The sequence below is a fragment of the Homo sapiens genome, chromosome 16, assembly GCF_000001405.40.
Source record: "Homo sapiens chromosome 16, GRCh38.p14 Primary Assembly".
In the NCBI taxonomy this organism is placed as follows: Eukaryota; Metazoa; Chordata; class Mammalia; order Primates; family Hominidae; genus Homo; species Homo sapiens.
In genome coordinates this window covers 14,462,148-14,478,168 of record NC_000016.10, presented here as the reverse complement: position 1 = coordinate 14,478,168, position 16,021 = coordinate 14,462,148, and the positions used below count along the sequence as shown (strand labels likewise).

The window sequence follows — 16,021 nt, the reverse complement described above, 5'->3', positions numbered from 1 at the left end:
AATTTTTTTATTTTTGTAGAGACAAGAGTCTCACTATGTTACTCAGGCTGGTCTTGAACCTTTGACCTCAAGAGATCCTCCCACCTCCCAAAGTGCTGGGATTACACGTGGGAGCTGTGCACCTGGCCATCCTTTATTTTGTTAATATTTTGATTTATACTAATTGATACTTGAATGTTTAATCAGATTTGTATGCCTAAAAGAAATCCCACTTGGCTATGAAGTATTATCCTTTTAATATGTTGTTGGATTTGGTTGCTGATATTGTGTTAAATATTTTTTGCATCTCTGTTCATGAGGAATATTAGACTGTAATTTTCTTCCCTTCCCTTCCCTTCCTTTCCCTTCTCTTCCCTTCCCTTCCCCCTTTTCCCTTTTCCCTTTTCCCTTTCCGACGGAGTCTCGCTGTGTTGCCAGGCTGGAGTGCAGTGGCGCAATCTCGGCTCACTGCAACCTCCAACTCCCTGGTTCAAGCAATTTTCCTGCCTCAGCCTCCCGAGTAGCTGGGATTACAGGCATGCACCACCATACCCAGCTAATTTTTTTTCGATTTTTAGTAGAGATGAGGTTTCACCATGTTGGCCAGGATGGTCTCGAACTCCTGACCTCGTGATCCACCCGCCTTGGCCTCCCAAAGTGCTGGGATTACAGCTGTGAGCCATCGCGCCCAGCCTGTAATTTTCAGTCTTTGTCGAGTTTTGGTATCAGGGTTATGTTTTTTTTTTTTTTGAGACGAACTCTCGCTCTGTTGCCAGGCTGGAGTGCAGTGGTGCAATCTTGGCTCACTGTAACCTCCAACTCCCTGGTTCAGGAGATTCTCCTGCCTCAGGCTCCCGAGTAGCTGGGATTATAGGCATGTGCCATCACACTCAGCTAAATTTTTGCATTTTTAGTAGAGACCAGGTTTCGCTCTGTTGGCCAGGCTGGTCTCGAACTCCTGACCTCAAATGATCCACCTGCCTTGACCTCCCAAAGTGCTGGGATTACAGGTATGAGCCACCACACCTTGCCTATTTTCTTATACTTAGCGTTTGCATCGTATATTTTTGTTCAGTCTTTTACTGGTAACTGGTTTGTCTTTACAATGAAAGTATGTTTCTTATAAATAGCATATAGCTGGCTCTTGCTTCTGGCAATCTCTGCCATTTATATTGAATTAATGTTGAGGACAGGTCTGCCTCCCATCTTGTGGTTTGTTTCCTGTTTGTCCTGTTTGTTCTGTGTCCCTCTGTTCCTCTTATTCTACTGCCTTTTGGTTGAATTATGTATTATTTAGTATTTGCTGATATTTTATCATCCTGTTTTATCTTCTCTATTGACTTTTTGCTTATACCTCTTTGTGTTGTTTTTTAAAGTCGTTGTTCCAGATTGGTGGTTGGTAAACTACAGCTCTCAAACCAAATCCGGCCCACGTGGCTCACATGTTTTTATGAAGTTCTGTTGGAACACAGCCTTGCCCATTCATTTATTTTTTAATTTTGTTTTATTTAAATAATTTTTTAATAGAGATGGGGTCTCGCTATGTTACCCAGGCTGGTCTTGAACTCTTTGCTTCAAGTGATCCTCCCACCTCCGCCTCTCAAAGTGCTGGGCTTACAGGCACGAGCCACTGTGCCCAGCCCCCCATTCATTTACATATTGCCTGTGGCTACTTTTGAGTTACCATGGCAAAGGTGGGTAGTTATGACAGAGACCTTATGGCCCCCAGAACTCAAAATGTTTACTCTGTGGCCCTTTAGAGAAAAGTTGACCCTTGCTCTGGAATTATACTGTCCAAGATGGTAGCCATTAACCACATGGCTATTGAGTGCTTGAAATGTTGCTAGTCCAAAATGAGATGGGTTGTGAATATAACTACACACCAGATTTTGAAGAATGTAAACTACATTAGTCATTGTTTACCTGCAGATTATATGTTGATAATATTTTTGATATATGAGGTTAAAAATATTAAATTAATTTGACTTCTTTTTCCTTTTTAAATGGTAGATATTTGAACATTTTTAATTATATATCTGGTTCACATTATATTTCTATTGGCCAAGCACTACTCTAAGATTATAATATGCATCTTTCAAGTATCAGTCTGTCTTTTATTTTTATTTTCTTTTTGTTTTTGACTGTCTTCAAGTAAAAAATGTACTACTTCATGAACATTGTGAGACTCTTAACAGTATATTTCCAATTACTCCCTTCCCCAATCCTTTGCGATCTTTTGTCTTATATTTTACTTCTACATATTGTGTAAACCCCATGGATACATTAGTGCTTTTATTCATTTTCTTTCTTTTTCTTTAAACTGTTATTAGTCTCTTAAATAAAATAAGGGATTAAAGTATGGGGGAAATGGCATAGATATAAATGTAAAAATTCAGGCATCCATAATTAGAAAGGTACGATTAAGATTTGGAGGGCGGCACTATGGTCGAGAGGAAGACAGGCACTGCTCTGTGACTCACTTCTATTTGCTTTAGAGAATTGACTCTGAGCCCTTGGCAGAGCTGGTCAGAGCAGTCGAGCTTCTACACGTGGCTATTAGCAGTGCTGCTAGAGATGAGCATCCATTTCTTTTGCTGTTTACACTGGTATTGTAGCAGTGTGCTTCTTTTCTTTCCTGTAATAGATTCAGTGTCCAGAATATTCAAGCATTTTATAGTTAACCGGAAAAAAGAGAGGGCTTGGGTTCTGGAGAAACTGGACTGAACATAGTTTGCTTTGAGAGGGAGGAAGATTTGGTTTGGTGGTGTGGGATCTGAAGAAATACAGGGTAGCATAGTGTTTGGAGAATACTCCTCTACAGTGGATGCTGAAACATGTAAGATCTCACTAATAGGTACTCAGTCCCCATAAGCCAACACCAACACTCGCAACTTTCCTGAAAGATAGGTGCTATTACTATTCCCATTTTATTAATACTGTAATGTTCTCTAATTAAAGGGAATGATTTTCTAAAGCCACTTTGTGCTGATAGAGATTTTAATCAGTCATGCCCTTTGGTTACTTGCTCTTTGGTTTATCTCAACTGATGGGAAAATCCCATTGGCCAGTCTCTTCCCTCTAGCCTTTCCTTTCTATGAGACTAAATTTCAGCCTTCCTTGAAAATTGAGTAGCTCTCCGAATTCCTGCTAGGTAGGAAATGCTAATGCATATATCAAAGCTGTGGTTTTTGGATTCCACATGGTTTTCACCTGCAGCTAGTGGTTTCTGAAAGTAACTGAATATATGTATTACATTAGAAGGTGAGGAAAAAGCCCTTTAGGAAGGAGAATTCTAATTCACCAGATCATATTCCAGGACCCATTGCCTTGTCAAAGTGCTTACACATTTATTCATAAATGGGCTTGTGGAGCAAGTGTTTTCTGTCTTCCTACTGAAAAATCCTTAGAGACAACAGAAGCCATAGGGCAGAGTGGACAGAGAACTGACTTATCAGGCAGCCAGAAGCCAAGGGTTCCAGCTTAGGCTCTGCCACCACCTAGCACCTCGGAAAAGACTCTTCATTCTCTCTTCCCTTCAGTAAATACCCATCAAGAGCCCAGCGTGTGCCTCTGTTTTCTCATCTTAAATGAGGCATTTTGGTGGAAAGAATGCTGACGTCCCTTCTGGCTCTTAAATTCCAAATGCTTTTATATTGTGCACAGTGTGTAGGGCATGACATGGAAATTGATAAAAACTCGTGAGACCCTTTGATTCTCTCAAATAGCAAATGGCAGTCTCTTCTAAACCTGAAGATTAGAGTTTTGAAAATCCTTATAGTGGAATTTTTAGTTTAGGAACATACAGTAAATCAGTGTCACAGGTGAACCTATGAAAGCTCTTTATGACGCTACAATAATAAAGACATGTCAAATAAAAAGATCATTGGCTGAGCACAGTGGCGCATGCCTGTAACCCCAGCACTTTGGGAGGTCAAGGCTGGAGGATTGCTTGAGTTCAGAAGCTCGAGACCAGCCTGGGCAACATGACAAGACCCCATCTCCAAAAAACAAACAAACAAACAAACAAAAATTAGCCAGGCATGGTGGCCCATGCCTATAGTCCCAGATACTCAGGAGGTTGAGGTGGTACAATGGCTTGAGCTCAGAAAGTCGAGGCTCCAGTGAGCCATGATCCCACCACTGCACTCCAGCCTGGGTGACAAAATGAGACTCAGAAAAGAAAAAAAAGAATCATTGGCCCTTTTAGTGGAGGCCGCCCTCTAAATTTCCACCTACCAGCTATATACTAGAAGTTTTTAGAAGGTCCTTCTCATGGTTTCAACAAAATGGTTGGAAACTACTAGCACTGTGGCAGAAGAATGTGTACTCAGCCCGTTTTGCCGTCTTTGTCTTGGCCCTGTGCTTAGACATTCATCACTTTGAGTGGGTGCCTCTCACCTTGAGACCCACAACTGTCCACTGCTATTTCAAAATGTGTGTCTACAGCGCAAGCAGTGGCCCCTTTGACCCTTATGGCAGCTGGCTGTCTCACGCAGTCCAGGAAGCTCTGTGTTGACTCTTCCTTGGTGCTTCTCTCTTGCCCTGGGCCTCTTGGGACACCTCCGTTCTGCTCTAACTGCCTCTTCTGTCCCTAGTCTTGCTTTTTCTGGGGAAATTTCCTGTTGTTTAGCTCTTGTTTGCTCTAGGTTCTATAGCTAAGGAGCAGAATTTACATCTCTATCTTTATCTTAACCAAATTATATTTTTACAATTTGCTTATCCCTTGGGATAGAGCCTTAGCTTTTGGAAAGGACTGTAGATTTACCTAGTCTAGCCGCCACAGCAAAATCTCTCTTATATTTGGGCAGAGTAAATGTTGGCAAATTCAATGTAGATCTTATAAGTTAAGTATATTTTAGCAGAGAAAATGTTTCCCATGACACCTTTGAAACCACTGAAATGATAAATGCACATAATTTTTAAAAATTCGTGTAGTACACTAGAGTGTAAAATGAAGGAGGAAAATCTTCATTCCTCACTCGCAGCTTCTCTTCCCAGTGGCAGCTCCTGTTATATTCTTTTGGTGGTTTCTGTTATTCCTTTAAATACCTCCATTTCTTGACTTACCAACTTTGAACAATGTATCCTGATTACTACTATAAAAGATTTGGAATTTAGTATGTATATTCTGCCTTCCGTCTCTTTCTGCCCTCTTCTCACTTTGATTAGTTATTATTTATAATATTTACTACTTTTTGTATCTATACTTTTGTGCCCTCTTTATAAGTTGATCCCAAGAGATGACAATCAGGATGCAGCGTGTATAATATTATGGTTGTATAAATGTTATCCTCTGTAGAGAAAAAAAGTTGCATAAATGGGACATTGAGAAGAAAGTGTATTCCTATGTCATTAAAACTTTGCTGCCCAGAAGAAACTTTCAGCCATCCCAGCGGTTTTTGTGTGGACTTTTTTGAGGGAAGTAATTTTCTTAAATGTTATATTGTTTTGCATGTATAATGTTGCTGGATGTAGAATTCTAGATCCCAAAACTGTTTTCTCTCAGAACTTTAAATACATTGCTCTTATTACTAGAATCATTGATTTGCTTTTGGCAGGTGCCATGTTTTTTGTGCCTTCATGTTCTAGCAGCAAATCGAGAGCTTTTCCTGCTAACCCGCCACCACCTTTCCCTCCTCTTTGCCAGTTTTGGCTAGGTCTAGTTGGCTTTTAAAGGGCTATGCTAATTTCAGACTGGAAAAGTGGTAGAGACCTTTAACACCTGTTCTAAATTATTTACTTTAATAAGTAAGGAAGAATTTCCACCACCCCCACTCATTCCTCCCTCTGAATTCAGCTACTTTGCACCTTACCAGCTGCACACTTGTAAGAAAGGATCAGCCTGTTCTCAAAAGAGTATTTTAAAATATTCAAGTAAATATTCAGCATAAAACTAGAGTCTCGTTAATGTAAAATGCAGAATTTTAAAGTGTGCAGTTACTAATAAAATAGAATGATTAACCAGGAAAATTGATTTTACCATGTAATGTACACAAAGACATAAAACTTGGTTTTTAATAAAGATGTGGTACACCTCTAACAGATGTCCCCTCTGGCATATCTGTCTGGTTGGGTATCCAGGAAAGACGAATGAATGTAGTTTGTCTCCTTCCTTTGACATCTCTTGGACCAGTAGGTCAGGACACGGTTGCTTTCTTTGAGAGGGGATAGTTCAACAAGATTCCTGAGAGTAGCATCACATAAAGAGATGTGGACAATTTGGATAAGCAAAATGTGGCATATGCTTACAGTGGAATATTAATCAGCCTTAAAAAGGAAGGAGATTCTAATACATGCTTCAATTTGCTTCAAGCAAATTGTAAAAATGTAATTTGGTTAAGATAAAGATATAGGTGTAAATTCTGCTCCTTAGCTATAAAAGCACCTTGAGGACATTATGCAAAATGAAATAAGCCCATCACAAAAAGACAAAACACCAGATGATTTCACTTATATGAGGTTCTTAGAGTAAGTCAGATTCATAGAGACAGAAAGTAGAGCGGTGATTGCCCCCACCTGAGGAGAGGTGGGAATGGGGAGTTGTTTAATGTGATTCAGTACTACAGGAGATTGGTTGCCCAGCAGTGTGAGTGGACTTAATGCTGCAGAACTGTACGTTTAAAATGGTTAAGACACTAAATTTTATGTGTACTTTACCGCAATTTAAAAAAATTTTAAAGGGATTCAGACAACTTGGAATACTATTTTAATAGTAGAATTTTACATGAAACCTTTCTTTTGATGGTTGAGAATGGAGAGAATGCTGATGTGAAACCTAGAATACTTAAAAAATGTAAATAGAGAATTATGAATTATTGATAATTCATGAGTGAATTATCATATAATATGAGTTATCACATTTGAGTTCATAATTTTCAGTTACTGCTTTTCTATTTTATGCTTTATTTATTAAAATGCCTTTTAGATCTGGCCTTTCTCGTCTCACCTGTTGTATGGGCTGTAACACATCTGGCAAATGGATGGATTGATTTTTAGATGAAGGTCTGCTTTAATCGAGTGAGAGTGTGAAGTGTCAACTCTACAGACTTTGACAAAAGCACAGCTGGGGAAGCAGAACAATTGTGTTTATTAAAAATTACCTGTATCAGCTGGGCATGGTAGCTCATACCTGTAATCCTAGCCCTTTGGGAGGATGAGATGGGAGGATTGCTTAAGGACAGCTTAAAGACCAGCCTGGGCAACATAGCAAGATCCCATCTCTAACAACAACAACAACAAAAATCAAAAAATTAGGCATGGTGGCTCATGCCTGTAAACCTAGCTACTCAGGAGGCTGAGGTGGGAGGATTGCTTGTGCTAAGGAGTTTGAGGCAGTGATGAGCCGTGATTATGCCATGGCAACAGAGCAAGACCCTGGGCAACAGAGCAAAGAAAATATCTATATGTATTTTTTAAAAATAATTCAAACTCAGCCAGGCCAGATGCCTCATGCCTATAATCCCAGCCCTTTGGAATGCTGAGATGGGCAGATCACTTGGGCTCAGGAGTTCAAGAGCAGCCTGGACAACATGGCGAAACCCTGTCTCTACAAAAATTACAAAAGTTAGCCGGGTGTGTTGGTGTGCCCCTGTAGTCCCAGCTGTGGCGGGAGGCTGAGGTGGGAGGATTACTTGAGCTGAGGAAGTCGAGGCTGCAGTGAGCTGAGATTGTACCACTGCACTCTGGCCGAGGGTGACTGAGTGAGACCCTGTCTCAAATAATAATAATAATAATAATAATAATAATAATAATCATCCAAACTCTAAGATTTCTATAGTTTTTTTAAATTTGTAATTATTTCATTAAAGTTTAGGAGATTTTAGCAATGACTTAGCTTTCTTTAAATTTGAAAACATAGAAAGGTTTCTCAGTGTCTCCAATAAAATTCAGTATTTCCATTTAAAGGCTCCTGTATGCAGAAATTTGGAACTCAGCACTGAAAGCCTGCTTTCACCTCACACATTAAAGCACTGTGTCATCTCAGGATTTTATTTTAAATAACATGAAGCTAAGTTTAACATCACCTTATACTTATATGACCTTTGTTGTGTTAGAACGCTTTCATGTTTCATAATAGCAGTAATATTTGAAAATTGTTTTCTTTCTATACCTTCATGTTATAACCATAATTAAAAGTCTCATTATCATCTATGTTTCTAACAATGTGTTATATTATTGAGTACTTATCTTCATGTAATAGTATAATTTTTTGTGATAGTATAAGGTGCTAATAATTGAAACAAATTGCCCTCAGCATACTTAGATGTTAGGAAAGTGAAATACTATTTTTTCCATGTCTGTTACCTAAATGCAAAACAGATTTTCTGTTTGAGTTGCCCATATCATGTGCATTTAGGATTAGTCCTGTATAATTTATAGTGGTGTTAGCGGAAATAAAGCATAAAATGTATAAATCCTGTATTTTAATTGCCAGATGTAGAAATCCTTAACATTTTCCTCGTAGTTCTTTTTTTTTTTTTTGACACTTTATGCTTTTTAAAAATTCTGCTAGTACATCATAAGCCAGCAGAAACTGCAGCATGTTTGTGTTTATTTAGGGGAGGTTGGTGGATGAATGAAAAATGACTGCTGTGGCCCAAAGCCAAGTTTGTCCTTGTACTGATAGGTGGTTCCATGTTTAAATACGATCTCCAGATCTGAGGGGCCTCCTTTTTGGCCATTCAAGAATCTCTGAAGCAAAGATTTTTCATTTCATTCAGCTTGCTGATAGTGCAGAAGCCAAAGGTTTGCAAAATGAGAATTTTCTAGAATCTCCCTTTTGTGCCTCTTTTTCCCAAATGCAAAAGGACTCAAATCTGTGATGGGTATATGGGTGTTTACTATAGTTTTGTTTGTTTTGATGGAGTTTTGCTTTTGTTGCCCAGGCTGGAGTGCAGTGGTGCGATCTTGGCTCGCTGCAACCTCTGCCTCCTGGTGCGATCTTGGCTCATGGCAACCTCCGCCTCCCGGGTTCAAGCGATTCTCCTGCCTCAGCCTCCCAAGTAGCTAGGATTATAGGCATGTGCCACCACACCTGGCTAATTTTGTATTTTTAGTAGAGACCGAGTTTCACCATGTTGGCCAGGCTGGTCTTGAATTCCTAACCTCAGATGACCCACCCACCTCGACCTCCCAAAGTGCTGGGATTACAGGTGTGAGCCACTGTACCAGACCCGTTTTTTTAGGTCGTTTTTTTATGTGTGTTTTTTTTATTTCTTTGTTTGTTTGTTTTAGTGTTTCAAATGTTTTATCTTTATTTTATTTTATCTATCTATCTATCTATCTATCTATCTATCTATCTATCTATCTATTTAGTAATGGGATCTTGCTGTGTTGCCCCAGCTGGTCTCCTATTCCTGGGCTCAAGCGATCCTCCCACCTCAGCCTCCCAAGCAGCTAGGATTGCAGTCACACATCACTGTGCCTGTACTGTATAGTTCTTTAAACTTTCTATATATTTGAAGTTTTCATAATAAAATGTTGGGGAGGAGTAGAACTGTGAAACTAGAAACTTGTGTACATTTCCAATAGAGTAGGGCAGTTGAGGTGGTTCTCAGTGATCCACAGGTTCCGAACAGAATAATTAGCTAATGCCCATGTGGCTGATGGCTTACCTGCCCATCAGCAAGGCTGCTGGAACACTTTCCTCCTTGCTGCCCAACACTGGGGACCATCCTATACAAGCTATTCTTGCTCCTTGTGCCTCCTTACTGCTCTTCCTTCTCTTTCCCTCCTCTTTTTCTGATGTTTTTCATTGGTCTTCTCTCTGAAGACCCACATCAGTGTCTTCTCTAAAAACATGGACCGACTGTCCACCTTTCCCACCATAGGAAAGGGAGGTGACAGAGAAGGCACTGGCATTTACAGAGTCTCTCATGTGCCAGGCACCATAACACACACTTTTCTATTTTGTTTTGTTTCTTAATCTTCACAGTAACCCATTTTTTAATTGAGGAACTTGCTCAGAGTCACAAAACCAATCAATAAATTCAAGCCCTCCTCTCTCTCTTCCCAAATCCCATTCATGCTCTTTACAAAATGCCTGCTCCCTCCTAAGATATCCATTTATGATCCTTCCCTTCGACTAGAAGTGCCTTGTGAGATGCCTTCTGTGCCACCCAGAGTCCTTGGGAATTCTTTGCCTTTGGGACTCTTGTAAGAAGTGAAAAGAAAAAGTCAGGGATTGTCACGTATTCTTCTTAGTGTTCCCGCACCTAGCAAGTAATACCTTGTGGCCACTTGGAAAAACGTTTAAATAAATGAATGAGCAGGAGATCCTGTACCACACTTGGAACATGTCTTCCCACTCACTGTCCTGCTCAGAAGGCCATGCAGACTGTTTTCTTTCTTTTAACAGTATAAAGTCGTGTTAGGAATGTTTTCAATTGCTTTGCTTACAGTAAGGCAGAGAGGAATGACATTCTTTTGATAATTGCACCATAATCTACCTTATTTGTATTGCCTTACCTTTTGTTCAGACTGAAAGAGCCACCTGAAGGTAGGAGTATGTACATGCCTTGGAATATTAGGTCTGAAGACTTTTCATGCCATTTTTTAAGGGAAAATAATTTAAAAGGTAATCAATATCATGCAATGCTGCAGAAATCAGTATTCACACCACTGTTTTCTGAGTATTACATTAGGTGTCATCTATTTGATAAAGAGAATTGGGGAATTCTTGTGAATGACCATGTGGTACATTGGTTCATCTTCGTAAATTAATGACTCCGAATTCTTGGCAGATTAGTTTCTAGTTTGCTATAATTGCAAATTAACCCCGGAAGAGTCTTCACAAACTAAATCAAGGGGCAAGAAGCATTGTGTTTCTTGATGTTACAGCTTTTGGTAGGTGATTCCTTGTTCTGAGGGGGGCTGAAATGACATTCTCCATGTGATGAGCAGCCTATCAGGTGGGCCCCCCATTTCTTCTCCTTCTGGTAATGCCATCATACCCTGTTCCTTCATCACATTAAATTGTTAGTGCTAATGATGCCTTCATTTGGAATTTGCCTAAAAATCTGACATGAATGTCCATTTAGGATTGCTAAGTTAATGACATAATGAAACTGTGAGAATTTAGAATAGACTTCTCCACATGGTTGATGGCTTCCTCTTATTTCTGGTCATTTGCCTGCAGGGGCATCAGGAAAAGCGGGGTGCACAAGCGGAGAGGAGAGAGGAGTAGGTGGATCCTTCCAGGCACCTACCTCTTTTTTTTGGTCACTGTTTGTGAAGGAGTAGTATACTTCCAAATTTGACCCTGCCCAGATGCCATTAGGGGATTTTCTTTTCTTCTCAAATTAGTGTTAGTGGGTTTATAGGAAAGCCGGAAGGAACCAAAAATGACAGTTTCCAAAGAGATGGAACATCTTCAGAAACATACAGGGTTAAGATATAAAGTTTGTTGTTTAGGTAACTGGCTTTGAATGTTTTCTTTTGTGTCATTTCTATCTGCAAATGTTAATGATTGTGGAATGTAGTAATACCACAGTAACTCAGATGGATGGAGGTGAGGATAGATGGGAGGACATTTTTGAAGAAATGTAATGTATTCTTTTAAGGAATGGGTGGGTGGTATCTGTAACTGTGTAAGCAAAAATGTTACCTGATAAACATGGACTTGTGGAGCCAGAAGGAACTTGGAAGTGATCTGGTCCATCCTCTGTCACGTTACAAATTTACAAAAGAGGACTGGAGGCTCAGAGAAGCTGTCATATTCAAGGTCATAAAGCCAAATCGTAACAGAGCTGAGTTCTGTATACCCTTTAAAGACAAGTCATGACTTAACATCGCAGTAGTGATTTTTCACATATTGAGTGAATCTTTGTGAAGCCCTTGACATTTAAAAAAAAATATTTTCAATGAAAGCTATGAACATTGTCTTTAAAAGCCAAATAGTACAAAAAAAGTTTATAATAAAAAATGGCAGTCCTCTGCTACCCTCATCCTGTCCCTCAGAGACAACCACTTTCAATTCTTTCTTTTGATATTTATTTTCTCAAATAATGTACTTACTGCTACTTCTTCATTTTTTTTAACTTTTATTTTAGGTTCTGGAGTACATGTGCAGATTTGTTATATAGGTAAATTTGTATCACAGAAGTTTGTTGTACAGATTATTTCGTCACCCAGGTACTAAGCCTGGTACGCAATAGTTACTTTTTTCTGATCCTCCTCCCACCCTCCACCCTTAAGTAGGCCCTAGTGCCTGTCATTCTCCGCTTTGTGTCCATTTTGGAGGAACAAAGTGCCTACTTATAAGTGAGAACATGCAGTATTTGATTTTCTGTTTCTGTGTGAGTTTGCTAAGGATAATGGCCTTTAGCTCCATCCATACTTCTTGATTTTTCTGTTTATCTTTTGACTTACAAATAGGATAGGTAAGGATTCAGCTCTGTTGCTCTCACCCACTCCAGGTTGCTTCCTTTCCCCACCCTCAGCCTTCCTCCAACTTTGTTCTCTTTGGTCTTCTTTTTCATAATTGTTTTGGCTATTCTAGATCCTTTGTATTTCCCTATGAACTTCAGTATCAGCTTATAAATTTACATAAAAGCATCTGGTAAAATTTTGGTTGGGATTGAATTAGGATATATAATATTTTCTTTTAACCTATCATAGTCTTCCTTCAAGTTATACCAATTCACATATAGCATAAGAATCTTACAGTAATATACTTAAATTTCCCAGCTCCCAACCTTTGTGCTATTAGTGTTAATAACATTTATATGTTATTAACAGCATGCAACATTGTTATATTTCTTATTTAGTCGGTGATTTTCTAAAAGAATTAAGTAATAAGAAATCTTACGCTGGGTGCATTGGCTCACGCCTGTAATCCCAGCACTTTGGGAGACCACATTGGGAGGATCACTTGAGCCCAGAGTTCGAGACCAGCCTGGGCAATGTGGAAAGACTCTGTCTCTACAAAAAGCCAAAAAATTAGCCGAGCTTGGTGGCACCCGAGCTTAGTGTCACATGCCTGTAGTCCCAGCTACTCGGGAAGCTGAGGCAGGAGGATCCCTTGAGCCCAGGAGGTTGAAGCTGCAGTGAGCTGTGTTCACACCACTGCACTCCAGCCTACGTAACAGAGAGCAAGATCCTATCTCATTTAAAAAAAAGAAAAGGAAAAGAAATCTTATCTATTTACCCATGTAAGTATTTCCTCATTCCTTTGTGTAGTTCTATACATATTTCCATCTGTTATCATTTCCCTTTTGCCTGAAGGAGTCAACCATGTCTTATGGCAAAGACCTGCTGGTGATGAACTCTTTCAGCTTTTTTGTTTGTTTCATTTCTTTAGAGATGAGGTATCACTATGTTGCCCAGACTGGTCTCCAATTCCTGGGCTCAAGTGGTCCTGCCTCAGCCTCCCAAGTTCTTTTGTATGTATAAAAATGTCTTTATTTCACCTTTTTTTTTTTACTTTTATTTTTCCAAACAGAATCTTCCTCTGTTGCCCAGGCTGGAGTGCAGTGGCGCAACCTCAGCTCACTGCAACCTCTGCCTCCTGGGTTCAAGCAATTCCCTTGCCTCAGCCTCTCAGTAGCTGGGATTACAGGTGTGCGCCACCACGCCTGGCTAATTTTTGTATATTTTAGTAGAGATGGGGTTTTGCCATGTTGGCCAGTCTGGTCTTGAACTCCTTACCTCAGGTGATCTGCCTGCTTCAGCCTCCCAAAATGCTGGGATTACAGGCGTGAGCCACCACACCTGGCCTCACCTTCATTTTTGAAAGATATTTTTGCTGGGTATAGAATTCTAAATGGACAGAGTTTTTTTCTTTCATTCATTTTAAGATACTGCTCCACTTTCTTCTCACTTGCATTATTTCTCGACAGAAATCTGTTGTCATCCCCATATTTTTTCTCTGTATGTAATACAACTTTCTCTGTGGCTACTTTTTACAAGTTCTTCTTTATCATGAGTTTTGAGTAATTTGGTTATGATGTGCCCTGGTAATGTTTTCTTCAAGTTTCTAATCAGCTTGGGATTTACTGAGCTTCTTGGATTTCTGGATTTATAGCTTTCATCAAGTTTGGACATGTTGGGCTGGGTGCAGTGGCTCATGCCTGTAATCCTAGCACTTTGGGAGGCCGGGGCAGGTGGATCTCTTGAACCTAAGAGTTCACGACCTGCCTGGGCAATATGGCAAAACCCTGTCTCTTCAAAAAAATACACACACAAAAAAATTAGCTGGACGTGGTGGCACATGCCAGTAGTCCCAGTTACTAGGGTGGCTGAAGTGGGAGGATCACTTGAGCCTAGGGAGGTCAAGGCTGCAGTGAGCTGTGATTGTGTCACAGCACTCCAGCCTGGGTGACAGAGTGAGACCTTGTCGTCCCCCCCCCCCCAAAAAAAAAAGTTTGGACTTTTTTCAACCATTATTTTGAAAGATTTTTTTTCTTTTTCCCGCTCTCATTTTGTCTTTTAGGGACTCCAATTACTCATGTATATTGAGGTGCTTGAAGTTGTCCTCTAGGTCACAGATGCTCTCTTTAATTTTTAAAATTCTTTTTCTCTGTGTTTTATTTTGGATAGTTACTATTGCTGGGTCTTTATCTCAGACATTGTAATTTTCATTTCTAGAAGTTCTGTTTGGTTTGTAGCTTATCATTTTCAACATATGGAGTGCAGTTATAAATACCCTTCAGTGTCCTACTCTGTTAATTCTAACATGTGTATCAGTTCCACATCACTTTCAGTTCATTGATTACTGTTATTGTGGGTTGTGTTTTTCTGCCTTTTTGCATACCTGATAGTCTTTGTTATTTTACTTTTTTCTTTTTTAAGCTATCTCCTACAGGAAGGAAACCTGGTAGTCTTTATATTATAAATTTTACCATATATTATAAATTTTACCTTGTGGTGTACTAGATATTTTTGTATTCCTATAAATGTTCTTGAGCTTTGTTTCCAGTATGTCGTTGAGATATTTGGAATCAGTTTGATTTTTTCAGGTCTTACTTTTGTAGTTTGCTGGGTCTGGAGCAGTGTTCATTGCCTAAGACCTTCCAAACTAGTCTCCCCAGTGCTGTGATGTATGTGTTTTCCCAAGTTAGCTGGTGGGAACAGGCGTTGTTCTCAGCCCTGTGTGAGCACCATATATTGTTCCCTTGAATCCTTTTGGATGGTTCTTTCCCCAGCCCTGGGGAATTGCTCACCCATTATGTGCTGATCAGTCCTCTGCTGAATCATCGAGGAATTCCTGTGCAGATACCCAGGGTTCTCTAACCAGTAAACTGGGGCAGTCACTGGGTTCACCTCGTTAGTTTCCTGTCTCTCAGGGATCACTGTGCTTCCTTGCCCAATGTCCAGTGCCTTCAGAACCATTGTTTCATGTATTTTGTCTGATTCTTTTGGTTGTTTTGGCTGGGTAGGTAAATCAGTCTATGTTATTCCATCTTGGCTGGAATGGAAGTTGCTCCAGTGTCTTTTGTGTCTTTGCATTCAAACATGCTATCCAGAAATCTAATGTCAGTTTTATTCAAGATCCTTTTTATAGAGCCTCTTTTTTCTTTTCTTCTTCTTCTTCTTCTTCTCTCTCTGTCTCTCAATCTGGGCCTTTCTGGAATTTTCGAGAATATTCTTTTTTCTCTCCCAGTGTTTTGAAATTCCACAGTAATGGGCCTTGGAAGTGTTATGCTGGGTACTCCCTGTGGGCTGTTACAGACTGAAGACTTGTGATTTGTGACTTGTGTCTTTTATTTTGTGGGAAATATATTGTTTTATTTCCTTGACAGTTTTTTTCTTTCATTTCTCTCTTCTTTCTTTCTGGAACTCCCGTGGTTAAATGTCGGTTTCCTGGATTTATCCTCTAATGTTTTTGTCTTTGTTTGTTCCCTTCTATTGTCTTTCATCTATTTGTTCATTTCTTGGACATTTCTCTGACTTTCCCCCTTCAATACTTTCATTGGATTTTTTTTTCTTTCAACTCCTATTTTAATTTCTAAGAATTCTTGTCTTCACAATATTCCTTTGAAAGAATGCATACAGCTCTTCCTTGTTGGATGTAGAATTATCTTTTATGTCTATAAGGACATTA

General features: G+C 39.6%; 1 protein-coding gene across 7 annotated transcripts in view; it reads left to right on the top strand.

Annotated features, from left to right (window-relative positions):
- Positions 1-16,021, top strand: part of PARN (poly(A)-specific ribonuclease) — a 194,560-nt gene that overhangs the window by 152,092 nt on the left and 26,447 nt on the right. The gene's annotated exons all lie outside the window — the stretch shown is intronic.